The sequence below is a fragment of the Homo sapiens genome, chromosome 1, assembly GCF_000001405.40.
Source record: "Homo sapiens chromosome 1, GRCh38.p14 Primary Assembly".
In the NCBI taxonomy this organism is placed as follows: domain Eukaryota; kingdom Metazoa; phylum Chordata; class Mammalia; order Primates; family Hominidae; genus Homo; species Homo sapiens.
The window spans coordinates 26516978-26542158 of NC_000001.11; the positions used below are offsets into that span (position 1 = coordinate 26516978).

The following is a 25181-nucleotide window of genomic DNA, read 5'->3' on the forward strand; positions in this document are numbered from 1 at the left end:
AACAAAGGTGATTATGTTCTTCTGAGCTCACAAGCTGTTCCTGGATCCAGGATCTGAGAGAGGGGAAGGGGATCTGGTGGGTGCTAGACTGCAATCACTGAGAGATTTTTTTCCTTCCAGGAAAAGGCTAGATCCTCTTGGCCAGGAGGCAGGGAACTGATCACCATGACCTAGGCTGCTCTGCTGCTGTATCAGAGCCTGGCTGGATAGAGAACTTCTCTTCCAGGGGAAGGCGGCCAAGGAGCAGGGTACAAAGAAACACTGAAACCCGCTGGTTCTTGTCCTGGGAAGCACCCGGAAAAGAGCTCACCTACTTGTTTAACTGTCTTCCCCAAAGAAAATGTAACTTTTTTTCTTTCTTTTCTTTTCTTTTTCTTTTCTTTTTTTTCTTTCTTTTTTTTTTTTTTTTTTTTTTGAGACAGGGCCTCATTTTGTCTCCCAGGCTGGAGTACAGTGCCATAATCATTGCTCAGTGCAGCCTTAACATCTCAGATTCAAGCTATCCTCCTGCCTCAGCCTCCTGATTAGCCGGTACTACAGGCACAAGGCACCAGGCATTTTTGTATTGTTTGTAGAGATGGGGTCTCACTGTGTTGCCCAGGCTGGTCTCAAACTCCTGGGCTCAAGCAAGCCTGCTTCAATCTCCCAAATTGCTGGAATTACAGGCATTAGCCACTGTGTCTAGCCAGATAGAGCAGGAGTCAACAAACTTTTTGTGGGGGGAGGGGCTCAAACAGCAGAAATTGATTTCTGACAGTTCTGGAGGTTGGGAAATCCAAAATCAAGGTGCTGCCAAGGTTGATTTCATTCTGAGGACTCTTCCCTTGACTTGTCATCAGCCACCATCTTGCTGTGTGCTCACATGACCACATGACCTCTTCTTTGTGAGCTTGAGAGAGAGGGAGTAAGCTATCTGGTGTCTCTTCTTATTAGGGCACTGTCTTAGTCCATCTAGGCTACTACAGCAAAATACTTTACAGTGGGCAATTTATCAAAGACAGAAATCTCTCCGAGTTCTGGAGGCTAGGAAGTCCAGGATCAAAGCTCCAGGAGATTTGGTGTCTAGTGATGGCCAGTTCCTCATACAGAGCACTTTCTATGTGTCCTCACATGGCAGAAAGGCAAGGCAGCTCTCTGGTGCCTCTTTTTTTTTTTTTTTTTTTTTTTAAGACAGAGTTTCCCTCTTTTTGCCCAGGTGATCCGCCTGCCTTAGCCTCCCAAAGTGCTAGGATTACAGGCGTGAGCCACCGCTCTGGTGCCTCTTTTTTTTTTTAATTTTTTTTAAAATTATACTTTAAATTCTGTGCTACATGTGCAGAACATGCAGTTTTGTTACATAGGTATACACATGCCATGGTGGTTTGCTGCGCCCATCAACCTGTCATCTACATTAGGTATTTCTCCTAATGCTGTCCCTCTCCTAACCCCTCACCCCCTGAACAAACTTTTTTCGAAAGAGCCAGCTAGTAAATATTTTAGGCTTTTCAGGCCATATGGTCTCTGTTGCAACTACTCAACTCTGCTGTTGTGGTGAGAAAGCAGCCATAGACGATACGTAAACGGAGCGTGGCTGTGTTCCAATAAAACTTTATTTATGGATGCTACAATATGAATTTCATATAACTTTCACATGTCATGAAATATTCTTCTTTTGACTTTTAAAATGATTTAAAAATCTAAAACCCATTCTTAGCTTGCAAGCATACAAACACAGTAGGCCAGATTTATCATGTGGGCCAGTTTGTGCGCCTCTATCCTAGAGGGCAGAGACTGTCTTCTCCTCTGCTGTATTCCTAGTGCCTAGAACAGTGCCTGGCATGTAGCTGGTGCTCAGTAACTATTTGTTGGTGATCAGCTGCTCCCTCTTCTGCCCCTTTTAACTCCAATTCCCTTCCCAACTCTTCCTGCTACTGTGTCACCTCTGCTGTCGCCTCCTGTCCTCTCTAATGTCAGCAACCAAAGTTGGCCTCACCCCCAGGCTCCAGGTCAGAGGTACCGCTCTGTGGAGGAGCTCACTGCCTAATTCTCTGCCTTGCTCTCCTTGACCCTCTGCAGTCCTGGACCATCCCACCTGCATGCTTCTGTTCCTCCTCTTCCTCTCTGACCACTCCCTCTCTCTTTTTTTTTTTTTTTTTTTTTGCCGATTGCTGTGACTTTATTTTAAAGGGTTTTCAGACTTACAGAAAGGGGCTTTTCAGATGGGGCTGTGTCACTATCAACCATCTTCACTGTGGAGTCCTAGTCACTATGATTTTTGTTTTGTATATCACAAAGATTCATTCAAATTGTCTCCTCTTCTATTCCTTCATAATAGGTTTACATGGTCCGAAAGTACATCCCTCCTTCTCTAGTACATTTCATTCAAACAGATGGCTGCTACTTCTCTATTGTCATTAATCTTTTCATCATCTTCTTATTCTTCTTAGCACAGTTGGGGCATAACATATTATCTTCTGTGCCTGGGGATGGGAAAATGCAGGCAGGTAACAAGAAGAGAGAAATCATCCTCCTGTGAGTGGTAGGCACTCAAGCCTGACCTGCATGAAACTGCAGGCGTACTCAACCCTTTGTGTCTGCCGAGAGAAGTCTGCCATGGACCACACACCACCTGACACCAGCGGCTTGCATCAAAAAGGCCTCAAGAGAAACAGGAATGGAACTTGAATTCACAGCCTCAGGCTCAACAGCTCTTGCAGCAATTCTTGCCCTTGATGCCAACATGGCTCCCTGCGCTGAAGTTATCACTTCGACTGTATTCGTCTCTTCTGCTCTCTCATTCATCTCATAAGTTTTCTGAAGCCTTGCTCTCTTGGTCACTGCCTTGTGTTTCCTTGAACACCGCTGTAATCTGGTCTCTTGTGACATTTCAGGCATATCTTGCTGTTGTTCAGGGTAAGCAGGCCTATGGACCCTCAGATAAACTTCGATTTTCTTGCCATTAGTACTCAAACTGAGTTGTTGGCACCAGTCCCGCAAAGTGTCCCAACACACCTTATTAATGGGAGGCAAAATGGTCGGCAAGGGAAGAGCTGGTATTTTGCATCTAGCTTTTTGTGGAGCTGTAAATTGTTAATTTGTTTGAAGTAGATGACCTTGATTGTATTTCATAGGTTTCTCCAGTTTGACATCAGAAGTTGAAGAAACACTTGGTTCTGTTTGTTCCATATTTGGGTCATCTTTAACTGGCAGCAATGTCAAAATCACACTTTCCTCATCAGCTACTTCCCCCTCAAAGAAATTCTTCTTGCTGCTATCCAAATTTGAGTCTGACATTTTCAGCAACACCCCTGTCTTGTCCATTCGGTGATACATTTTTTTTAAAATTAGGCCTGGCATGATGGCTCATGCCTGTAATCCCAGCGCTCTGGGAGGCTCAGGCAGGCAGATCACTTGAGTCCAGGAGTTCGAGATCAGCCTGGGAAACATGGTGAGACCCCAGTCTCTGGGACTACAGGCGTGCACCACCACACCTGGCTAATTTTGTATTTTTAGTAGAGACGGGTTTCACCAGGCTTGACCACTCCCTCTTTGGCTTCGTTCTCATTCATCCCCTGACCACAGTCAGGGGAGTCCCTCCAGGCTGAGGCCTCATGTCTTCGCTGCACACAAGTGCAGAACCCACTCAGTGAACCCCAGGCCCCAATCTCTGGCTCTCTCCCTTCTTTGCAGGGGGAAGAATTTGGAGGGAAGGAAGGAAGTCTGTGATTGTCACCTACCATTTATTTTCTTCTTTTTTTTTTTTTTTTTTTTTGAGACAGAGTCTCACTCTGTTGCCCAGGCTGGAGTGCAGTGGTGCAATCTCGGCTGACTGCAAGCTCCACCTCCTGGGTTCACACCATTCTCCTGCCTCAGCCTCCTGAGTAGCTGGGACTACAGGAGCCCGCCACCACGCCCGGCTAATTTTTTGTATTTTTAGTAGAGACAGGGTTTCACCGTGTTAGCCAGGATGGTCTCGATCTCCTGACCTCGTGATCTGTCTGCCTTGGCTTCCCAAAGTGCTGGGATTACAGGCGTGAGCCACCACACCCGGCTGTCACCTACCATTTCTATGGAGCACCTATCGTGTGCCAGGTGCCACACAGGTATTTTATTGCCTGATCTCACTTAATACTCATAGCCACCTCTAGTTTTCTAAGGCACAAACTGAGGCTCAGAGGGGTTAACCGAAATACTCAAAGTCACACAGCTAGGAGGTAGCCAGACCAGGATTAGAGCCCAGGTTGGTGTGGCTCCATTCACAAGTACATTTTGAGGGCCTACAATATATCAAATGTATCCAGAGAAACAGCAGTAAACAGACAAGTCCTGCCTCATGGAGCTTTGTTCTAGTGGGAGAAACAAACAGGTAAATAAACAACAGGATTGCTAGTAAAGAGCATGCCATGAAAAATAAAAAGATAACGTAGGTTATATAGCTGATGGAGAGCTTTTTTTTTCTTTTTCTTCAGACAGTCTCGCTCTGTCACCCAGGCTGGAGTGCAATGTCGCAATCTTGGCTCATTGCAACCTCCGCCTCCTGGGTTCAAGTGATTCTCCTACCTCTGCCTCCCAGGAAGCTGGGATAACAGGCATGCGCGCCACCATGCCTGGCTGATTTTTGTAGTTTTAGTAGAGACAGGGATTCACCATGTTGGCCAGGCTGGTCTCAAACTCCTGATCTCAAGTGATCCGCCCGCCTCAGGCTCCCAAAGTGCTGGGATTATAGGCGTGAGCCACCGCGCCCGGCCAAGGGGAACTATTTTAGGTAAGATAAGAAAAGGAAAGTCCTCTCCGGGAGGTGACATTTGAGCAGAGGTGTGAATGAAGTAAGAGAGTGAACCCTGAGAAATGGAGAAAGAATGTTCCAGGTGGAGGGCATAGCAGGAGCAGAGCCTGACAGGAGCATACCAGGCATGTCCAGTGATCCGCAAAGATACCCGGTGGCAGGAGAGCGGCGAACGAGGGACAGAGTGGTAGGAGAGAGTGCCCGACGGAGTGGGCCGGGGCCTGGGGGGTTCACAGACTTGGCCAAGACTTTGGATTTGTTTGAAGTGTGATGGGGGAGGCGCAGGAGGATTTCAAGCAGAAGGATGACACCATTCCCATTCCTCAGATGAGGGATGAGACAGACAAGAGACTCTGCCCCCTCCATCACTCCATCACTGCTCCATCACTGTCACCCACTGTGTGCACACTGAGCTCTCCTGGACCCCTTTCTGAACTTAGCATAGTGAAGTGATCAAGAGCACTGGCTTTCAGGTCTGAGAGAAGTGGGTTCCCAGCCCAGCTGCAATACTTACTGGCTGTCTGACCATGGGCAATCCTGTCCCTCTCTAAGCCTCAGTTTTCTCATCTGGAAAATGGGACAATAATTTTTGTCTCATGGCATTGTATCATTGGGGTGATTTGATGAGTTCTTACTTGTAAAACACTCAGCTCCAGGCAGGCTACATAGGGCTCTCTCAATAAGCACTCATAGTTTGTTACTATTATTTTTTAATTTTTTTTGAGACAGGAGCTTGCTCTTTTGCCCAGGCTGGAGGGCAATGGCTCAATCATAGCTCACTGCAACCTCAAACTCCTGGGCTCAAGCTATGCTCTGGCCTCAGCCTCCAAGTAGCTAGGTCTATGAATGCGCGCCACCATGCCTGGCTAATGTTTTTATTTTTAGTAGAAATGGTATCTTGCTATGTTGCCCAGGCTGGCCTCAAACTCCTGGGCTCAGGCAATCCTCTTGGCTCAGCCTCCCAAAGTGCTGAGATTACAGGCATGAGCCACCGCACCCCACTTGTGATTATTATTATTTAAAGTTTCAGCTCTGTTCTGGCACTTTGTAATCGCTCATTAAAGGTAACTATCATTGTGATTATTCTCCTCATCCTGTTCCACCTGTTAAAGACACATTAGCCAGGAATACCCTTTACTGAGAGGCCAAGAAAGAATAATGATGACAGACCCTCTCCCCAGGACAGGTCCTTTCCAGAACCTCTGCTCTTGAACATCATAGAAAAACCTCGGCCGGGCGCGGTGGCTCACACCTGTAATCCCAGCACTTTGGGAGGCTGAAGCGGGCAGATCACGAGGTCAGGAGATCGAGACCATCCTGGCTAACATGGTGAAACCCTGTCTCTACTAAAAATACAAAAAATTAGCCGGGTGTGGTGGCAGGTGCCTGTATTCCCAGCTACTTGGGAGGCTGAGGCAGGAGAATAGCTTGAACCTGGGAGGCGGAGGTTGCAGTGAGCCAAGATCGCGCCACTGCCCTCCAGCCTGGTGACAGGGAGAGACTCCGTCTCAAACAAAGAAAAAAAAAAGAAAAAGAAAAACCTCCCAGGCTTCAGAAGAGGGACCCAAAACCCGGCCCTCAGCCCCTGTCAGTTCAGCCCCCTGCTCCTTGCCAGAACTGCCTCTTTGACAGGGCGCAGAGTGGTAGCCTCACTTGTGTCTAGCAAAGCCCTTTCACACTCACAAGTCACTCATTTAACAAACATCTCAAGGCCAGGCGAAACCCCGTCTCTACAAAAATCTTTTAAAAATAAAAAAAAAAAAAAATAGCTGAGTAGTGGTGCATGCCTATAGTCCCAGCTACTTGGGAGGCTGAGGTGGGAGAATTGCTGGAGCCCAGGATGTTGAGGCTGCAGTGAGCCATGATTGCACCACTGGACTCTAGCTTGGGCAACAAAACAAGATCCTGTCTCAAAAAAAAAAAAAAAAAAAGCTAGAATTTATCCATCACTCAGAGTGTAGCATTTCAGAGCATGAGATTAGATTGCCTGGGTCTGAGTTGCAAATTTACCATTGCATAGCTGGGTGATGTTGGACATATCATTCATTTAGTCTTTTTGAGTACCTGTGTGCCAGGCAGTGTGTCAGGTGTCAGGAAGACAATGAAGAGCCAACAAGACCCAACAGCTGCCCTCTCACAGTTTACAGTCTAATTTAAAAGCCAGATGTAGGCCGGGGGCAGTGGCTCACGTCTGTAATCCCAGCACTTTGGGAGGCTGCGGTGGGCAAATCACCTGAGGTCAGGAGTTCGAGACCAGCCTGACCAACATGGAGAGACCCAGTCTCTACTAAAAATACAAAAAATTAGCTGGTGTGTGGTGGGCGCCTGTAATCCCAGCTACTCGGGAGGCTGAGGCAGGAGAATCGCTTGAACCCAGGAGGCAGAGGTTGCAGTGAGCCAAGATTGTGCCATTGCACTCCAGTCTGGGCAACGAGGGTGAAACTCTGTCTCAAAAAAAAAAAAAAGCCAGATGTTAATCAAATAGTCACATAAACAAATGTAAAAAAGTACAACTTTGAGAAGCACTGTCAAGTATTGATTGCTATGGGTATGAGTACTACGGAGGTGAGGGAAAATGTCCTGGAGGAAGTGATGTAGAGCTGAGCTGGCTTGAAGAACAAAGAAGACTGTTTCAAGTACAAGGAGTGGCATGTGCGAAAGCCCTGCGGCAGAACTGAAGGAAAGCCAGTGTGGCTGGAGCCACGAGAGAGGTGGAGCACACTTTTGTGCACTGAAACTTTAGCAGCATCTGTACCTGTGGGCTACAGTTTGTTCTGCACAGCTCTCTGATGAGTGACTGCTATGCCTACTCCAGAGATGGGCAAGCTGACCCCTAGAGAAGCTCTCCAGGTAGAGCCCAGATGTCCTCTGGGCTCCCCTCTTACCAGCATGACCCACTCATGGGAGAGGGGACACAGGAAGTGAAGCTTATTCATAAAAGGTTGAAAGCACAACCAATCAATCAGTCCTTAAGTGAGAGGATGCTCTTGATAGGGAGATTACTTTGAGAGGGAGAAGAAAGAGGGTCAGGGACCCAGGAAGGGAGAAAGCTGAAGGTAGAACCACTCCTGCTTTCCCTCACCTCCTCTACTCCTGCCATCCACCCCACCTCTCTGGCCCATCCCCTGACCCTCATCCTGTGGGTCTCAGTGTCTCTCTTCCTAACTTAAATGTGGCTGACTCCAAGCCAGGTATCTGGCAGCTACGTGCGATCTGTTCCAATTCCTGAGTACAATTACTAGATCTAGCAAACCAAAATACATGATACCCAATTTGAATTTCAGATAAACAACACATACACTTTTAGTCAAAATATGTTCAAGTATAACAGCTCAAACTGGGAGCAGCAAGAGCTGGGGCATCACAACCTGCTTCCAGGTAACTGAACTGGACGATCCCCACACTGATGTGAATAATGGCTGCCAACTCTGGTCCAGGCTGCCGTCTGTTTTGTCCTCACCTTTTCTCATCAGGGAGGTGGAGACTATGTGAACAAAAGAACACACTCTGCGCTGGGCGCAGTGGCTCACACCTGTAATCCTAGCACTTTGGGAGGTCGATGGTGGCAGATCACCTGAGGTCAGAAGTTCAAGACCAGCCTGGTCAACATGGTGAAACCCCGTCTCTACTGAAAATACAAAAAATTAGCTGGACATGGTGGTGGGCACCTGTAATCTCAGCTACTCGAGAGGCTGAGGCAGAAGGAGAATGGCTTGAACCTGGGAGGTAGAGGTTCCAGTGGGCTGAGATGGTACCATTGCACTCCAGCCTGGGCAACAAGAGTGAAACTCTGTCTAAAAAATAAATTAATAACACACTCTGGAGCCAGACTGTCAGGTTGTCTCTCAGCTCTGCCATTTTTCAGTCCTGTGGCTTTTTTTTTTTTTTTGAGTTGGAGTTTCCCTCTTGTTGCCCAGGCTGGAGTGCAATGGCACAGTCTCAGCTCACTAAAACCTCCACCTCCCAGGTTCAAGTGATTCTCCTGCATCAGCCTCCCGAGTTGCTGAGATTACAGACACCCGCCACCACGCCCAGCTACTTTTTTTTTCTTTTTTTTTCTTTTTTTTGTATTTTTAGGGGAGACGGGATTTCACCATGTTGGCCAGGCTGGTCTTGAACTCCTGACCTCAGGTGATCCACCCGCCTTGGCCTCCCAAAGTGCTGGGATTACAGGCGTGAGCCACCGCGCCTGGCTGCAGTCCTGTGGCCTTGGAGGGACCCAAGTAATGGGATGCTTACTTTCTCTGCCCTCAGTTTCCCCATCTGTACACTGGAGAGAATAATAGCACATAACACATAAGATTACAAGGACTACCTTAGTTTATGCAGGTAAAAAATGCATAGAACAGTGCCTGGTCCATAGTAAGTGCTATGTTAGTGTTAGCTGTCATTATTTATTTAGTTACACCACAATGAATGTAAACTCCGTAAAGGCAAATACTTTATTTATTATGTATTTTATTATTTATTTTTTAGCAATGGGGTCTCACTCTGTCGCCCAAGCTGGAATGCAATAGTGTGATCATAGCTCACTAGAGTCTCAAATTCCTGAGCTCAATGGATCATTCTACCTCAGCCTCCTGAGTAGCTAGGATTACAGGTACCCAGCTAAGGACTTTAATTTATTCATTGCTATATTCTCAGCATCTAGTAGAAAGCCTGAGCCACATCCCCTGGTGTGCTGAGGCAAGAGGATTGCTTGAGGGCAGGAGTTCAAGGCTGTAGTGTGCTATGGTTGCGTCTATGAATAGCCACTGCACTCCAGCCTGGGCAACATAGCGAGACCCCATCTTTACAAATAATAATAATAATAGGCCAGGCGCAGTGGCTTATGCCTGTAATCCCAGCACTTTAGGAGGCCAAGACGAGCAGATCATGTGGTTAGGAGATTGAGAGCATACTGGCCAACATGGTGAAACCTCGTCTCTACTAAAAATATATATATATAAAATTAGCCAGGTGTGGTGGCACACGCCTATACAAAAATTAGCCAGGTGGGCCGGGCGCGGTGGCTCACGCCTGTAATCCCAGCACTTTGGGAGGCCGAGGCGGGCGGATCACGAGGTCAGGAGATCGAGACCATCCTGGCTAACACGGTGAAACCCCGTCTCTACTAAAAATACAAAAAATTAGCCGGGCGTGGTAGCGGGCGCCTGTAGTCCCAGCTACTCGGGAGGCTGAGGCAGGAGAATGGCGTGAACCCGGGAGGCGGAGCTTGCAGTGAGCCGAGATCGCACCACTGCACTCCAGCCTGGGTGACAGAGCGAGACTCCGTCAAAAAAAAAAAAAAAATTAGCCAGGTGTGGTGGCACATGCCTATAGTCCCAGCTACTTGGGAGGCTGAGCAGGAGAATCATTTGAACCCGGGAGGCGGAGGTTGCAGTGAGCCGAGATCAGGCTACTGAACTGCACTCCAGCCTGGGCGACAGAGTGAGACTCCATCTCAAAATAATAATAATAATAATAAAAAGAAGGCTTGGCTTACAATACATGCTCAGAAAGAGGGTCTAGTGTGTAATATATAGCCATAAATAAGCCAGGTGTGGTGGCTGTAATTCCAGCATTTTGGGAGGCTGGAGGATCGCTTGAGGCCAGGAGTTTAAGACCAGCCTGGGCAAGATAGTGAAACCCCATCTCTACAAAAACAAAACATATAAAAAATTAGCTGGGGACCTGGCACAGTGGCTCACGCCTATAATCCCAGCACTTTGGGAGGCCAAGATGGGCAGACCATGAGGTCAGGAGATTGAGACCATCCCAGCTAATACAGTGAAACCCCGTCTCTACTGAAAATACACAACGTTAACCAAGCGTGGTGGCACGCACCTGTAGTCCCAGCTACTCAGGAGGCTGAGGCAGGAGAATTGCTTGAACCTGGGAGGTGGAGGTTGCAGTGAGCTGAGATTGAGCCACTGCACTCCAGCCTGTTGACAGAGCAAGACTCTGTCTCAAAAGAAAAGAAAAAAAATTAGCTGGGCATGGTGGCACACACCTGAAGTGCCAGCTACTTGTGGGAGGTGGGAGGATCGCCTGAGCCCAGAAGTTCAAGGCTGCAGTGAACTACGATTTTACCACTGCACTGCAGCCTAGGCAACAGAGCGAGACTCCGTCTCTAAAAAACAAATAAAAAATATATAGCTGTAAATTTATTGAATTAAAATGAATCTTGTCCTATATACCTGAAAGATTGAGATTATAATTCCCATTTTACAGATGGAGAAATTGAGGTTTAGAGGCATAAAATGAGTTTCCCTGTGTTAAGAAGGTAGCAGAGCTGGAATTCAAACCCAGAATTGTTGGGTTCCAAAGTCCTTTCACTCAAAATTCAGTTCAACAGCTGAGGTCCTACCCTGGGAAAGCCATGGAAAAGGGGGAGCACGTGGATTCTGGAGAAATCCTTATCCACTTTGATTTTTTTTTTTTTGAGATGGAGTCTCTGTCGCCCAGGCTGGAGTGCAGTGGGGGCTATCTCCGCTTACTGCAAGCTCCGCCTCCCGGGTTCACACCATTCTCCTGCCTAAGCCTCCCGAGTAGCTGGGACTACAGGTGCCTGCCACCACGCCCTACTAATTTTTTGTATTTTTAGTAGAGACAGGGTTTCATCATGTTAGCCAGGATGGTTTCAATCTCCTGACCTCGTGATCCGCCCGCCTCGGCCTCCCAGTGCTGGGATTACAGGTGTGACACTTTGATTTTTTTAAGCCCTAGTCTGTTCTCAACCTCTTGTGTGACCTTGGGTAAGTCACTTCATCTTTCCGAGCTTGTTTCAGGATTTGTAAACTAGGTGGTGGTAATCATTCAAGGAAATCACATGGCTCGCAGGAAGCTTTTGATAAACATTCCTTCCCATTCCCCTGCCTTAGAACAGCTTTGCAAATAACTGACCAGTCTTCCTGCGAAACCAGCAAGCTTGTCCCTCCAGCAAGCTCACTCCTCACATGTGAATACATCTCAGCACACCCGGACCCCTAAGGCTCTTTAGGTGGAGGCTGAATCTCTCTGGGGCAACCAGTCTCCCTGGCCTTTCACTCCAAGTCCCACCAAGCCTCGGTTCATCCTGGGAGCCTGGTCCCTCCTCAGAGAGTCGCAAACCCAAACTAGTCCAGAGCTGGGGCTGCAGGTGACTCCAGGGAGACCTGACCTGAAAGGACCCCCTTCAAGTGATAGGGCAGAGCACAGATTGCAAAAACGCATATTAAGAAATCACTCTTGGCCGGGCGCGGTGGCTCATGCCTGTAATCCCAGCACTTTGGGAGGCCGAGGCAGGAGGATCACTTGAGCCGGGGAGTCAGAGACCAGCCTAGGTAACAAAGCGAAACTTCGTGTCTCTCTCTCTCTCACTATATACACACATACATACATATATGTGCATATATATAATATTTATTTATACATATTTATTTATATATGTAATATTTATATACATTATGTAAAATCAATCGATCAATCAATCACTCTGTGGTGGCACTATGGGTCCTGATGGTGGTAACAACTGCTGATGCCCATCTTGGCCTGGGGCACTGAGATCGCCCGGAGATCACAGTGTTAGCTTCAGGGCGGGGTAGAAATTAGAGGATAGGGGATCTCTAGGGCCTGGTGAGTTGAGGGCCTAAGGGGAGTGGGTCTCAGGCTCCTTCCAAGCCTCAGCCTAGATCAGGCCCAGGAACCCAGTGTGAATGTGTGTGCTGGGGTCGGGGATAAGGTGCTTCTCTCCCGTTGGAAGGAGAAGGAACATCTGGGCTGGGATTCCAAAAGAGCTGAGCGGGGGAGAACGGTGGCCCTGGTGTGGTGTGTCCAGGGGTACACCACTGGAAGGGAAGGAGCCAGCAGGGCCTCTCCGGCGGAGCCGAGCGCGGGCCGGGGGCTCGCGGCAGGGGCGGGGCCGGCCCTCGGGGCGCGGCGGGGGCGGGGGTCCGCGCTGGGAATGCCGCGCCGCGGGGGCTGGGGCGGGGCTTCTCCGGCTCCGCCCCCGCGCAGGTAGCCAATGGGCGCGGCGGCGCCGGGTGACGGAGGGAGCCGAAGTGCTAGTGCCGCGGCGGCGGCGGCGGACGGCCCAGCCGGAGCGCGAGGGGCTCGGGGGGGCGCGGCGGTTCGGGTCGCAGAGCCAGGGACCCCAGGACCCGGGAGGCGGCGCAGCCGGGGCCGCCGGAGGAGCGCGGGTGACCTGGCGGCGGCGAGATGCCGCTCGCCCAGCTCAAGGAGCCCTGGCCGCTCATGGAGCTAGTGCCTCTGGACCCGGAGGTGAGTGAGCGGGGCGGGGGACGGGCGCCCGCGGCCGGCGAGCCCGGATCCTCACAGGGGCGGGGCGGCCCGAAGCGCCGCTGCAGTCCGGCGGGCGCCCGCGAGGGCGCGAGTGCCCTCCGATCTCTTGCCCACTGTCCGGCTCCACCCCCCTATGCCCGGGTGTGCGTGTGCGAGGGACAGTTCCGCCAAGCGCCGACTACCTCCCCGCCATAGCCAGGAGAGGGGATCCTATGGGGCGCTGAGATCTGGTCGCCTTCACCCCACACCTAGGACCCGTCCCGGCATCTGTCCAGAGCTGTCGGAGCTTCCTCCATTAATGCAGACGGGGAGATCTTCAGTGCCAGATGTCTGGGATTCTACCAGAGACAGGGGTTATGGGACCCCCACTTCTCCCAGGGCCCTCCGCCAAGAGCTCCCTGCTTCTGGCTTCACCGCTGCTGAGCCTAGAAGGATTGCTCCTCTTGACCCCTGGCGGATGCGGAGTGTGGGATGGCACCACCCGTCTGGGGCTGGAACTCCTGGTTTTCTTTGCCCTGAGGCTAGGGCCAGAGGACACCTGTGTGCCCTACCCCAGGCTGTGGAGACGAGAGTGGGGAAGAGCCCTTAGACCTTGTGAAGATGATTCCTGGCAGGGCGTGGGGGGACCTTGGTGCCTGCCTCCCTTCTTATGCCCCTTCCGGTAGGAAGGGCTGGGCCCTTGGGGAGTTTGGCTTCTGCCAGCCCAGACTCCCCAGACAACCCAGCTCCTTCTCTCTCAGAAGCAGCTCCTGACCTCCCTTGAGGGCTCTGTGGCTCCAGTCCCTAAGCGTGCAGAAGGCCACCTCTTCCTGTGCCTTTTGACCCCAGGGTCAAGGTCAAGCCCCTGAATGAGCTGGTGGAAAACTTCCTCCTTAACCTCTTGCTGGGAAGGAAGCAGGTGATATTCTCCTTCCCAGGTGGTTGTTGGGGGTATGCAGGGAGGGAATGGAGACCTCATTTGAGCCCAGGAGCTGAGATGACTTTCTCCCAGCTTGGGCCTGGAGCCCCTGTCTCAGTCCCCTCCTCTGCCCTCTCTTACCTAGGGCAGCCACCAAGTGTCCTGCCTCTCAGGACCACAGGCTTAGATCAGGGTGAGCACCCAGGGTCCCCAGCCCCCAGGGTGTGCTGCCCCTTTAAAGGGATGGCCGACACTGGCTATTGGAGGGTGGGCGCGGCAGGATTAGGTAACCAACCTGAAGGAGCAATTTGGAGTAAATTGCTCTGGGATTCCTGCCATGGGGATTTTACAGGCACTGCTAGGCTGCTCAGAGGTTCTCTCGCTGACTCACCCTCTGAGGTGAGGAACACTGCCCTCTGCAGCCCCTGTACTGCCACCCCGCTACTAGGACCGGGGCGCAAGGTCCTGGGGGTGGTGCTCAGAGGTGGATTCCTTTGCCCAGGCACGCCCCTGGGACCAGGCCTCCAAAGGAGAAGGTAGGGCTGGGAGAGGCTGGGGAGTGACTTTATGCTGATAGGGAGGGTGGACACCCAGGAGCTCGATCCTGGGGCACCACTTCCTGCTTCTCTTTAGGGAATCCTGAGGCAGGGGCCAGCTTCACCAGGGAGCCAGGTTTAACTGGGAAACTCATCTCAGTTTTGAGTTCTGTAACATCTCAGGTCTGTGAGAGGGGAAGACCAGCGGACTTCCTGGGATTGGTGGGGCAGGGGGACGCAATTTCCTCAGGAGCTTCGCTCCAGAAACGATGTGTGATCCTCAGTCAGTCCTCAGCCTGTCTGGGCCTCTGCTTCTCCAGTGGCAAGTGCTAGGTTCTAGCCTCCACTTCCTGGGCCTGAGAGGGTGCAGAGCGCTGGGTACTGTTGTCTGGTCCCCCCTCCCCCACTCCTGGAGGTGCCAGGCGACTGGGTGTTATTGTTTGGGTAACAGGAGCCACAGGGCAGCCACGGCGCAGGTTGGGCTGTTCTCACTGGAGAACAGGGCCTCGCTGTTCTTAGCCCAGGTGACATGTAAGCGATACAGCCGCCTGACCTGCACGTACAGGCACCACCACTGCTGGCAGCTCCTAGCCAGGAAGGAGGCAGGTGAGGGGCTGGTGGGGGACTTTTCACAGGGACCTAGGATCTGGACTGCCCTGCCCTCCCTTAATGCTGCTGAAAATGGGCCGCTGGGAGGCAGGGCCTGGCCCAGGGTGCAGCCCAGGTGGAGTAATCTATGGGAAGCGTGGGTGAGGATTCTGCCTGGGCCTCGCTTAGCCCTGTTGAAAGCAGTAGCCTTGTCCCCAGGCCCAGTTCTGCCACGTACAGAGCTTTACTATGTGCCACCCACTCTGCCTTACGAATGTCACCCCACTTTAATTCTCACAACAGCTTCTCAAGATAGGGATTATTACCCCTGTTTTCAGATGGGACAACTGAAAACTCAGGCTTATGTGTTAATATCAGAGCCAGGATTGGAACCAAGATCTCTCTCTTCCACCAAGTGGGAGAGAGGCTCAGGGATGGGGAAGGGCTGGAGCCACACTAGCCCAGGTGGAAGGTGCTCCAAGAGAGGCTCCGGATGTTGGCGGACTCTCCTTATCCTGCAAGGCCCTCGTCCAGTCTTTGCCGAGGGCTGGCAGTGCCAGCCAGCCCTGGCACCTGGCCCCCAGCCTCCAGCAGTGAGCAGGGCTGCCAATGCTGGGCTCAGAACCCAGCTCCTGGGGCTGCTTCCTGCCTGTGGGGCACGTGCTGTCCTTCTCCATCTGCTGCCCAGCTTCTCCAGACGCTGCCCTGGGCCCCTCTTTCTAAGACAGAGTTGCTTGGGTGGGAAGGAATGATGCCAGTTGGAACCCATTTCTGACATCTCAGAACTGGGGGCAGTGGTCTGGGGCCCTGGGCATCTGTCCTCATGAGCAGTGCTCTCTGAGGAAGAGGGAGGAGTGTGGGTCTTCAACCTCTAAGAGGCCAAAGGACTCCTAAGACAAAGTCCTTCATTCAGTACTCTGCAAGGTCAGCACCATTGTCCCCATTCAGTCATTTATTTAGCACTTAGGTGATAAGTACTATTTCAGACAACAAAGTGCAGATGTCAGCAAGACACACCTGCCCTCGTGATACAGATGAGGAAACTGAGACTTTATTACTATTATTATTTTTTGAGACATAGTCTTGCTCTGTCACCAGGCTGGAGTGCAGTGGCGTGATCTCGGCTCACTGCAACCTCCACCTCCCGGGTTCAAGTGATTCTCCTGCTTCAGCCTCCTGAGTAGCTGGGACTACAGGCCCGTGTCACCATGCCCAGCTAATTTTTGTATTTTTAGTAGAGTCAGGTTTTCACCATGTTGACCAGGATGGTCTCGATCTCTTGACCTCGTGATCCTCGTGATCTGTGAGGCCTCTTGGCCTCAGCCTCCCAAAGTGCTGGGATTACAGACATGAGCCACTGCGCCTGGCCGAAACTGAGACTTCAAAAAGTGATATGAGGCCACGCGTGGTGGCTCATGACTGTAATCCTAGCACTTTGGGAGCCTGAGGCGGGTGGATCACCTGAGGTCAGGAGTTTGAGACCAGCTGGGCCAACATGGCGAAACCCCGCCTCTACTAAAAATACAAAAATTAGCCAGGTGTGGTGGTGCGGCCTATATTCCCAGCTACTTGGGAGGCTGAGGCAGAAGAATTGCTTGAACCCAGCGGGGCAGAGGTTGCAGTGAGCTGAGATTGCGCCGCTGCACTCCAGCCTGGGCAAAAGAGTGAAACTGTCTCAAAAAATAAATAAAAATAAAAATAAAAAGTGATATGACAGACCCAAGGGCAGAATAAGTGGCTGGCAGAGCTAGGATTAGTGGCTGTATCTTTGTGGCTGCACAGCTGTGTTCTTTCAAGGATTGCTATGCAGCAGTCAGGCCAGAGGGGCAGATGACCCCGGACCCAGGACCCAGGCTCTGAGTGGGAAGCCAGCACCCCACAACCCCCCTGACCCCCCTACCAGTCTGTTCTCCAGGGCTGCCTGTTCCCTTACTCTTACAGGTTTGGCGTTCCATAAGAATGACACCCAAGCCAGAGATCCAGGGAGTAGAGGCAGCCAGACTGCCTTAGAGCGGGGGGTCCCTAAGTCATCCAGGCCACTGCTCAAGAAACCCACACCTCTAGGTACACCTACCCCTTCCTCCCCACCCTCAGTAGGCTTGCAGCCACGTGACTTTGGGTTATGGTCACATGTCTGCCACCTGCCTGCTGAGGGACCTCGGTGAGTCCCTTAACTCTCCTGAGCCTCATCTGAAAAATAGGAGTAATAGAACCTGCTCTGGCCTCCTTGCTGTCTTTGCTGGGTTGAACTTTCACTGGATAAACCACATGCTGGACTCTGGCTGGGTGCCAAGATGTTGATGATGGACAAGCCATGGCCCCTTCCCGAGTTAACCTGCAGCATGCTTAGGTTATGGGGGTAGAGAGGAGGGAGGAAAGAACATGAGGCTGTGTGGACAGGGGTGACATTTGAATTCAGTCCTGATAAAAGATCAGGAGTTTGCCAAAGTGACAAGGCAGGAAAGGCTTTCTTGGTAGAGGGAGCCACCATACAAATGCTGGGGATATAAAATAGACTGTTTTCAGGGTCTGTGGTTGTTCAGTTTAGCTCAAAAATAGGGCCCAATGATAAGAATGGCTATTGTTTGTAGGCCAGTTACATGTCAGGTGTATATATTTATAGGCATTATTTCATTTGCTTCTTGCCGCCACCATTGAGGTATGTTACTTTGATCCGCATTTCACAGATGAGGAAACTGAAGCCCCAGTAAATGAACTAACCTTCTAGGGGTCACGCAGGTGGTAGAAGCCAGAATTTGAACCCACAAGGTCAGGTTGCAAAACCTACATTCCTAGTTATTGTGCTGGGCAGTTGAAGATGATGGCCTTGATTTCTATGCTAAGGAGCTGGGACTTGATTCTACAGGCAGTGGAAGCCACAGAGGGGTTTGGGGCCTGGTACATAGAAGGTTCTCAGCAAATGTTGACTGAGTGAGTTGAGTGCAGCAGTTGCACTTGATTTTAGGAATGATGAGGGTTTGGAGTGGGGAAGGCTGTGGGGCAGGGAGCTGGTGGGTAGGCTGTTCTGATCATCTGCAGGAATTATGTCAAGAGTCTAGAATGCTGGGTGAAGTGGAGCTCAGTCTACAAAAGCATCCCTACCACAGCCCAGCCCCTGGGCCCTGACCAACCCATCCCTTCTCCCCAGGCTGCTGAGAGATGACAGTGTGTGTATGGATGTGTGCATGGAGGGGCCTGTAGAACATTTGGCCCCTGGGGAGAGATTAGGGGCATTAAAGGGGCTCAGGGGGCAGGATGTCCTGGGAGTGGCAATGGGGAGCTGTTCCAGGGGCAGGGAGATTATGTAATGGGTAGAGCACAGCTGTGCCTACCCAGCTGTAGCCAAGCAGGGCTACAGCTGCCCCATGGACCCAGCTCCTGGCTCCAAAGTCCAGATCCAGACCTGTTCTAGAGCAGGCCTTCCTAGCTGTTGGGAACCTCCTGTCTGCCTCACCACACTCTCCCTGTTCTAGGAGGGGTGGGGCAATTTCTTTCAGCTTCCAAACGCCCAGATAGGGTAGGTTACTTGCCTCACATCACACAGGAAACAGATGGGCTGGGTTTGACACACCCCAGCATATTTAATAACCACCTGAGAGTGAAGTCTGGGGGCTGGAAAAGGCAAGACTGACCAGAGGGGGGCTCTGGGCTCTGGGCTGTTTCTCAGCTGACCTGTTTGGAGCACCTCCTGGATTTGGGACCAGATTTTGAATCCCCACTCACCAGTTGTGTGACCATAGGCATCATCACTAGGTCCCCTCAGAGCCTCAGTTTCCTTCTCTGCCACATGGGGCCAGGGCCTACCTCCCAGGGCTGTCATGAGGATTAAATGGTGCCACAGGGGCCAGGCGCAGTGGCTCACACCTGTAATCCCAGCACTTTGGGAGGCCGAGGCGGGCGGATCACCTGAGGTCAGGAGTTTGAGACCAGCCTGGCCAACGTGGTGAAACCCCGTGTCTACTAAAAAAAATACAAAAATTAGCCGGGCATGGTGGCGTACGCCTGTAATCCCAGCTACTTGGGAGGCTGAGGCAGGAGAATCGCTTGAACCTGGGAGGCGGAGGTTGCAGTGAGCTGCGATTGCACTACTGCACTCCAGCCTCAGCAACAGAGCAAAACTCTGTCTAAAAAAAAAAAAAAAAAAAAAAAAAGTGGTGCCACAGGTGCGAGGCACTGAGCCCAGTGCCTGCCATGTGGCAGAGGCTTGGAAGAGAGCAGCTGTTAGCCCCAAGCCCTCGTCTCTGCCCTCGTGGGACTCCCCATTTATTAGGAAGGGCAGGCCTGTGTGTAAATAGTCCCTGCAGTGGGACAAGTGCTACAATGAAGGCTGAAGTGGAGGCAGCAGTCATTCTGCCTGGCAAGGTCAGGGGAGGGGTCCCAGAGTGGGGCAGGGCAAGGATAGCCACCATCTCTGGGTTGCATGCTTTCCCAGACTTTGTCTCCTTCCACCCTTGCAGCAACTCTGGGAAGTCAGTGTAACTACCCCACCCCATGTTACAGATGGGGAAACTGAGTCCTCTCACAGTTGACTAGTTTGTACAAGGTTTGTATCTGGTAGAGCTGGAAGCCACACATGACCCTTCCCTTCTCCCTGGGAGGAGGTGACATTTGAACTAAGTCTTCAGAGATGAAGTGTTTGCCAGGCAGACAGCATGAGGGTCAGAATGCTGGTCCCTGGGAATATTCTGCCTGAGTCATGAGGCGCCATTGCCAGAATACTTGGTCCCTGTGCCTACACCATGAAAGTGGAGGTGGAGGGACCCACCCAGGACTCCTGCCCTACCACCATGGCCTCCATGGCTATTGGGAGCACCTAAGGGTGGGGGTGCCCCACAGAGTCTTTCTCCCAAGCGTGTAAGTTCTGACAGTGCTCCCCCAATCTCCTTTCTCTTTTCCAGAATGGACAGACCTCAGGGGAAGAAGCTGGACTTCAGCCGTCCAAGGTGAGGACCATGGCCAGCACCCTGAGCGAGGGGCTGTGGGGGATCCTGTTTGCATGGCTTTGGAGGAGGTTGAGGGCTCCAGCCTCTAGCCCCTTTGCCCAACTCAGCCGTCCTTCTCAGGGCCCACCGAATCCTTGTGGCAACCCTGGGCATAGAAATCACTTGTTCCAACCTTCCTATTTTGTAGGTGAGGCGACTGTGGCCCAGAAAGGGTCAGGAGCAGAATCCAGGTCAGGGCTCTGGTTACCTGTCACCCAGGCCAGGATGCCCCTGCAGTTTATTTACTCATGGAATTTGGGCTGGCTCTAAGGAGTGATGGGAGGGGCTCAGGCCAGCTGTCCTGCTCCTTTTGGTAGAGCTGCGCTTGCCAAGAGCCTGGAAGTGAGCATCTGGGCACGTGAGCTGGAAAGGGGGTGCTGGTGGCCGCTCAAGGCTAACCAGGCCCATTGCCTGGCATGTGGCACTCATGGCATTTCTTAGGGCTTCCACTTCCCAGTGTGAGGGTCATTCCCTCACCCCTGCTATCTCTGCTTCCCCTGGGCCCCTTCCTGTAGCCCCCTAGCCCCTGTTGCTGGTTTTGTGTTTTGCCAGAAGCACCAGGACTAGGTGACAGTGGTGTGACCTTGGGGAGGTTCCTTGTACACTCTGGGCCTTGGCTTTCTCATCTGTATATTGGAAAAGACCACATCCCCTTCACAGGGTGGCTGTGAGGTCACAGGAGATGCTGGCTATGGAGGGTCTTTGGAAGCTGCTTAGGCAGGGACAGAGCATGGTGTTAGAGCAAATCCGGGTTCCAGTCCTGGCTCCATCCCCACCATTTAACCAGAAGCTCTTCTCCCTTCTGAGTCTCAGTTTCCTGAGCTGTAAGTTGGGGAAACAGTGTCTGTCTCACAGGAGCAATGTGAAGGACGATGAGATAGTAACTGCCTGGCACATGGCAGCTTCGGTGCCAGCACCGAAAATGTCCTAGTATATTGCTCAGCTCAGCTTCCTGCCAGTGACCCCACCTTCCAGACCTAGGTTGGCTTGAACACCAGACCTGCCATAAGCTTGACCTTTGAGATGGATGCAGGATTAGTCCTGATGTTTACCTTGACTCAGCTTCCTAAGATGAGGTGACTGAGCTGGGTAGGATAGGGCAGGTGAGGGAAGTATTCTCGCACCACTTCTCTGTGGGTTGCTGTGGCAACCTTGGACCAGCAGAGGCCAGTAAATAGTGTGGACTGGGCCCCTTGGTTTAGCTCAGCCCATGTCTGCAGAATCTCCTCCCACAAAGTAGCTACCTCTTGTTGCCTAGTAACAAAATGAAGAACTGTAGGTTCCCAGTGAAGAAACACGGTGTTCAGATCTCAGGGCTGAGGTTCTGGGGGTTGCAGAGGAGCTTGCAGCATTTAGGGACCTGTGCTGAGTACAGCTTCTCACCTCAAGAACTGGAGGAGCTTACTGGGAGATGGCAGGAGCTTGCCGAGGCAGGTAACCTTTTGCTCCCAAGCCTATGACTCTTGCTCTAGAGCAGAAGATCCTGGGGTAGGAAGAGAGACAGGGCTGGAGATGGATGGGACATGGAGTCTCGAATGCCACTTAAGGAAGAGAAAGAGCTTAACCTATGCCTAGCATCATACCAGGTGCTTTGCATTTAGTTCTAACTACATCCTTGGAGGTAGATTGTTACTGTCCCCATTTTACAGATGAGAAAATTGAGGTTCAACATCACATAGCTGGTGGGCAATGAAGACAAGTCTTGTTTGGCTTCAAGGTCATTCCTCATAGTCCAGAGAACCCTGAGTGCTGAAGAGGAGGAGCACTGGCTTTCTGTGATTCCAAGTGGGACCAGTCCTGGGCACCTGCTCATCCATCTGTTGTCCCAGCCACCAGTGTCCCTAATGCCCACTTCTGGGCTTAATACACCAGGGGGCGCTCAACCTGTGGTCCGGACCTCATCACTTTGTGCAGTGGAATGAGCTGGCAATGGGCCACTTTATCCTAATCAGACATTCGGTGCACCCTGTTGTTCACAGGAGGGCCTAAAATGAAGTCAATATCCCCCACCTTCGAGAAGCTTCCAATCTTTGGGCAGAGGGTAGAGACAGGAAAGCCATGTGGTAGGCGCTATGATGGGGCAAGAGCACAGCTGTGGGCACATAGAACCTCTGCTCTGTGCTAGGCCCATGTTGGGCAGAGACGTATACCACCACCTTCCAGGTGCCCACATTTCTCTCCGTAGCATGACGAGATGAGCACGTCCCCGGGAACCCAGCTGATGGCATCTGAGTTCAGGGCTGAGTGTGGACCAGAGACATGGTCATTGCCGTGCATGGCCGAGGAAGAAGAGTTGGGGTGGGCTCTAGGGCACAGGCCATGTTCCCTGCGGAACTGGCATTTGGCTGGGACTCAAAAGGCAGGATTTGGGCAGCTGGAGAAAGAATTGGGCCTTCCAGGTGGCAAAGAGGCAGGGAAGAGAGTCAGGGATTCTGAGTTCAGAATCCTGCACCTATTTTTTATTTGCCTTGTAACCTTGGGCAAGTCATTTGCCTTGCTGAGGCTCGGGTTCTTTCCTGAAAAATGAAAGGAGAATAAAGCCTATTTCTCAGGGCTACCTGGAAAAGAGAATGTGGTACATATAAATTAAAGTATCTAACAGGGCTTGTGGCACAATGTTGCTGTTTAATGCTTGTTTATTTTATTCATTTCAGGCAGAAAGCGGGATTTGGGATTTGGGATTTGGCTTTTAGCAGCAATAGTGTGGATAGCCATCCAGGGTGAGAACTCTCTGGATCCCCTCAGCACCTAGGTGCACGTGGTACCCTAAGGCACACCGGGGCTCCATTTGCCCTCCCTCCCTTCTGGGAGTGGACTGGGCATCCCAGGCCCCCTCCCCCAGCTATCTCCGGAGCTGGACCCCTTTGAAGCGCCTGCAGGTCTATTTTGAGAGCTGAGCGTCTCCCCTCCCCTCCTCTCTTCCTGTTTATGAAACCCTGATCCCTCCCGGATCCCTCATGCTCCCCTGGCCAGAGCTTAGGCAGGATGTGACTGTGGACTTCAGGGAGCCTTGGGCAGCCTCAGGTGTTGGGAGGAACTTCCCTTGGCCTGGTCAGAGAAGGCCAGCCACCCTCCTAGTACCTGGGGCCCTGTGGCTGGGCTCTGTCCCTTCAGCCTGCCCAGGGGAGACCCCACAGCAGTAAGACTAAGTAAACCTGGGAGAAGTTCTGTTTCCAACATCCCCTTGTCTCTGTGGCCCATTTTGCTTCTAGAAACAATCTGAGAGTGGAGCATATTGTTCTAACCTTCATTTTACAGAGGAGGAAACCGAGGTTCAGACAGGGAAACAGATTTGCCCGGGAGCACCCAGCTAGTGAGTGGCCAGCTCTTCCTGACTTCCCACTCTACCCTCCTGGCCTTAAGCCCCTTGGTCACACAGGTCTTTCTCTACCTGGAGTGTCTTTTTTTCCTCCTTTCTGCCTGGCCAACATTTGTTCATCCTCAGGACCCAGCTGGGCTGCCCCTCTCTGGAAGGTCTTTCTTGACTTCATGCACTGGCAAATAGTCACCACCTCTGGGCACCCACAACACCTTGATTATGGCTGTCTCAGGATAGTTGTGGTTTTTTGGTTTTGTTTTTGTTTTGAGGCAGGGCCTCCCTCTGTTGCCCAGGCTGGAGTGCAGTGGTACAACCACAGCTCACTGTAGCCTTGACCTCCTAGGCTCAAGTGATCCTCCTACCTCAGCTACCGGAGTAGCTGGGACTACAGGCGCACGCCACTATGCCCAGCCAGGAGTTCAACACAAGCCTGGGCAACACAGGGAGACCCATCCTCTACAAAAAACAAAATTTTTTTTTGAGATGGAGTTTCACTTTTGTTGCCCAGGCTGGAGTGCAATGGCACGATCTTGGCTCACCACAACCTCCGCCTCCTAGGTTCAAGCGATTCTCCTGCCTCAGCCTCCGTAGTAGCTGGGATTGCAGGCATATGCCACTATGCCCGGCTAATTTCATATTTTTAGTAGAGACGGGGTTTCTCCATGTTGGTCAGGCTGGTCTCGAACTCCCGACCTCAGGTGATCCGCCCACCTCGGTCTCCCAAAGTGCTGGGATTACAGGCATGAGCCACCGCGCCCGGCCCTCTACAAAAAATTTTTTAAAAATTAGCCAGATGTGGTGGTACGCACTTGTCCTCCCAGCTTACTCCATAGGCTGAGGTGGGAGGATCGCTTGAGCCCAAGAGGCTGCAGTGAACCATGATTATGCCACTGCACTCCAGCCTGGGCAACAGAGTGAGACTCTGTCTCAAAAAAAAAAAAAAAATGCCGGACACAGTGCCTCACACCTGTAATCCCAGCACTTTGGGAGGCCGAGGCGGGCAGATCGCCTGAGCTCAGGAGTTTGAGACCACCCTGGGCAACATGATGAAACCCTGTCGCTACTAAAATACAAAAAATTAGCCAGGCATTGTGGAGTGTGCCTGTAGTCCCAGCTACTCGGGAGGCTGAGGTACGAGAATCACTTAAGCCCAGGAGACGGAGGTTGCAGTGAGCTGAGATCTCACCACTGCACTCCAGCCTGGGCAGCAGAGTGAGACTCCCTCTCAAAGAAAAAAAAGGCTGTGTGCGTGCAGCAACTGCTCAATCAGTAGGAGGCACACTTACCATCATCTCTCCATGCCAGTCCTGACCTAGTGTTGGAGGCCAGCTCCCCCTCAAGGCTGCCAGGGAGCTGTGGACCCCTCCTCACCTGCCTGGAGGCACGCTGGGAGATGTGTCTGAGGACATCTGTCCCACTGAGGGAGGGGGTAGCGCCTGGAAGGGCCCTGCAAATGCTGCCAGCTGGGGAAGGGGCTTTTGGTGTCCGTTAGGGCCAGGATTGGCAGGTGGGCTTGGCTACAGCTGGCAGGGTGGGAACCCTAGAGACCACGGATCAGGCCTGGGGGCTCTGGGCTTCTCTTCCAGCTGCCCTGTAGGAGGAAGTAAATAAAGAGGAAGTCCCTATGCGGGGGATGGGGCAGGGACCAAGGGATGTGGGCTGGTGGCTGTCCTCCCCCCGCCCGCCACCAGAGGCCTCAGGGCCCACACAGCCTTCAGCAAAGGCAGTTCTGAGACTGTTTCCTTCCTGTTGCCCCTTCTGGTACCCTGCTGGCCACAGAGGCTCGTGTGGACTAGGCCCCTTGGTTTATCTCAGCCCGTATCTGGAGAGT

The 25181-nt window shown here is 51.9% G+C and overlaps 1 protein-coding gene, 1 long non-coding RNA gene and 1 pseudogene across 3 annotated transcripts in view, besides 7 other annotated features; 1 reads left to right on the forward strand and 2 right to left on the reverse strand.

Annotated features, from left to right (window-relative positions):
• DPPA2P2 (developmental pluripotency associated 2 pseudogene 2) lies at positions 2140-3287 on the reverse strand (annotated as a pseudogene).
• On the reverse strand, positions 12143-14421 carry LOC124903884 (uncharacterized). Its single transcript, XR_007065558.1, has 2 exons — positions 14221-14421; positions 12143-13584 (listed from the first exon to the last, which is right to left on the reverse strand). It is a non-coding gene; the product is annotated as an uncharacterized LOC124903884 (long non-coding RNA).
• Positions 12669-13148: a silencer, noted in NCBI's record as "silent region_482". NCBI's record gives its function as "represses an Ori minimal core promoter by ATAC-STARR-seq in GM12878 lymphoblastoid cells {active_cell/tissue: GM12878}" and the evidence as "EXISTENCE:reporter gene assay evidence [ECO:0000049][PMID:35858748]".
• Positions 12784-25181, forward strand: part of RPS6KA1 (ribosomal protein S6 kinase A1) — a 45265-nt gene continuing 32867 nt past the window's right edge. The window contains exons 1-2 of one of the 2 annotated variants that reach the window (NM_002953.4): positions 12784-13006; positions 19948-19992. In NM_002953.4, coding sequence (NP_002944.2) covers positions 12944-13006; positions 19948-19992 — 108 coding nt within the window. In that variant the 5' untranslated portion in view covers positions 12784-12943. Of the gene's footprint in view, positions 13007-14423; positions 14462-19947; positions 19993-25181 lie in introns of those variants that run through there. The other variant, XM_024448871.2, reaches the window with a different exon arrangement.
• Positions 13390-14300: an enhancer, noted in NCBI's record as "H3K27ac-H3K4me1 hESC enhancer chr1:26856858-26857768 (GRCh37/hg19 assembly coordinates)". NCBI's record gives its function as "activates a minimal SCP1, AML or CMV promoter by ChIP-STARR-seq in primed H9 embryonic stem cells {active_cell/tissue: H9 hESC(primed)}" and the evidence as "EXISTENCE:reporter gene assay evidence [ECO:0000049][PMID:30033119]".
• Positions 14301-15212: an enhancer, noted in NCBI's record as "H3K27ac-H3K4me1 hESC enhancer chr1:26857769-26858680 (GRCh37/hg19 assembly coordinates)". NCBI's record gives its function as "activates a minimal SCP1, AML or CMV promoter by ChIP-STARR-seq in primed H9 embryonic stem cells {active_cell/tissue: H9 hESC(primed)}" and the evidence as "EXISTENCE:reporter gene assay evidence [ECO:0000049][PMID:30033119]".
• Positions 22013-22192: an enhancer, noted in NCBI's record as "active region_506". NCBI's record gives its function as "activates an Ori minimal core promoter by ATAC-STARR-seq in GM12878 lymphoblastoid cells {active_cell/tissue: GM12878}" and the evidence as "EXISTENCE:reporter gene assay evidence [ECO:0000049][PMID:35858748]".
• Positions 24576-24625: an enhancer, noted in NCBI's record as "active region_507". NCBI's record gives its function as "activates an Ori minimal core promoter by ATAC-STARR-seq in GM12878 lymphoblastoid cells {active_cell/tissue: GM12878}" and the evidence as "EXISTENCE:reporter gene assay evidence [ECO:0000049][PMID:35858748]".
• Positions 24636-24685: an enhancer, noted in NCBI's record as "active region_508". NCBI's record gives its function as "activates an Ori minimal core promoter by ATAC-STARR-seq in GM12878 lymphoblastoid cells {active_cell/tissue: GM12878}" and the evidence as "EXISTENCE:reporter gene assay evidence [ECO:0000049][PMID:35858748]".
• Positions 25066-25115: a silencer, noted in NCBI's record as "silent region_483". NCBI's record gives its function as "represses an Ori minimal core promoter by ATAC-STARR-seq in GM12878 lymphoblastoid cells {active_cell/tissue: GM12878}" and the evidence as "EXISTENCE:reporter gene assay evidence [ECO:0000049][PMID:35858748]".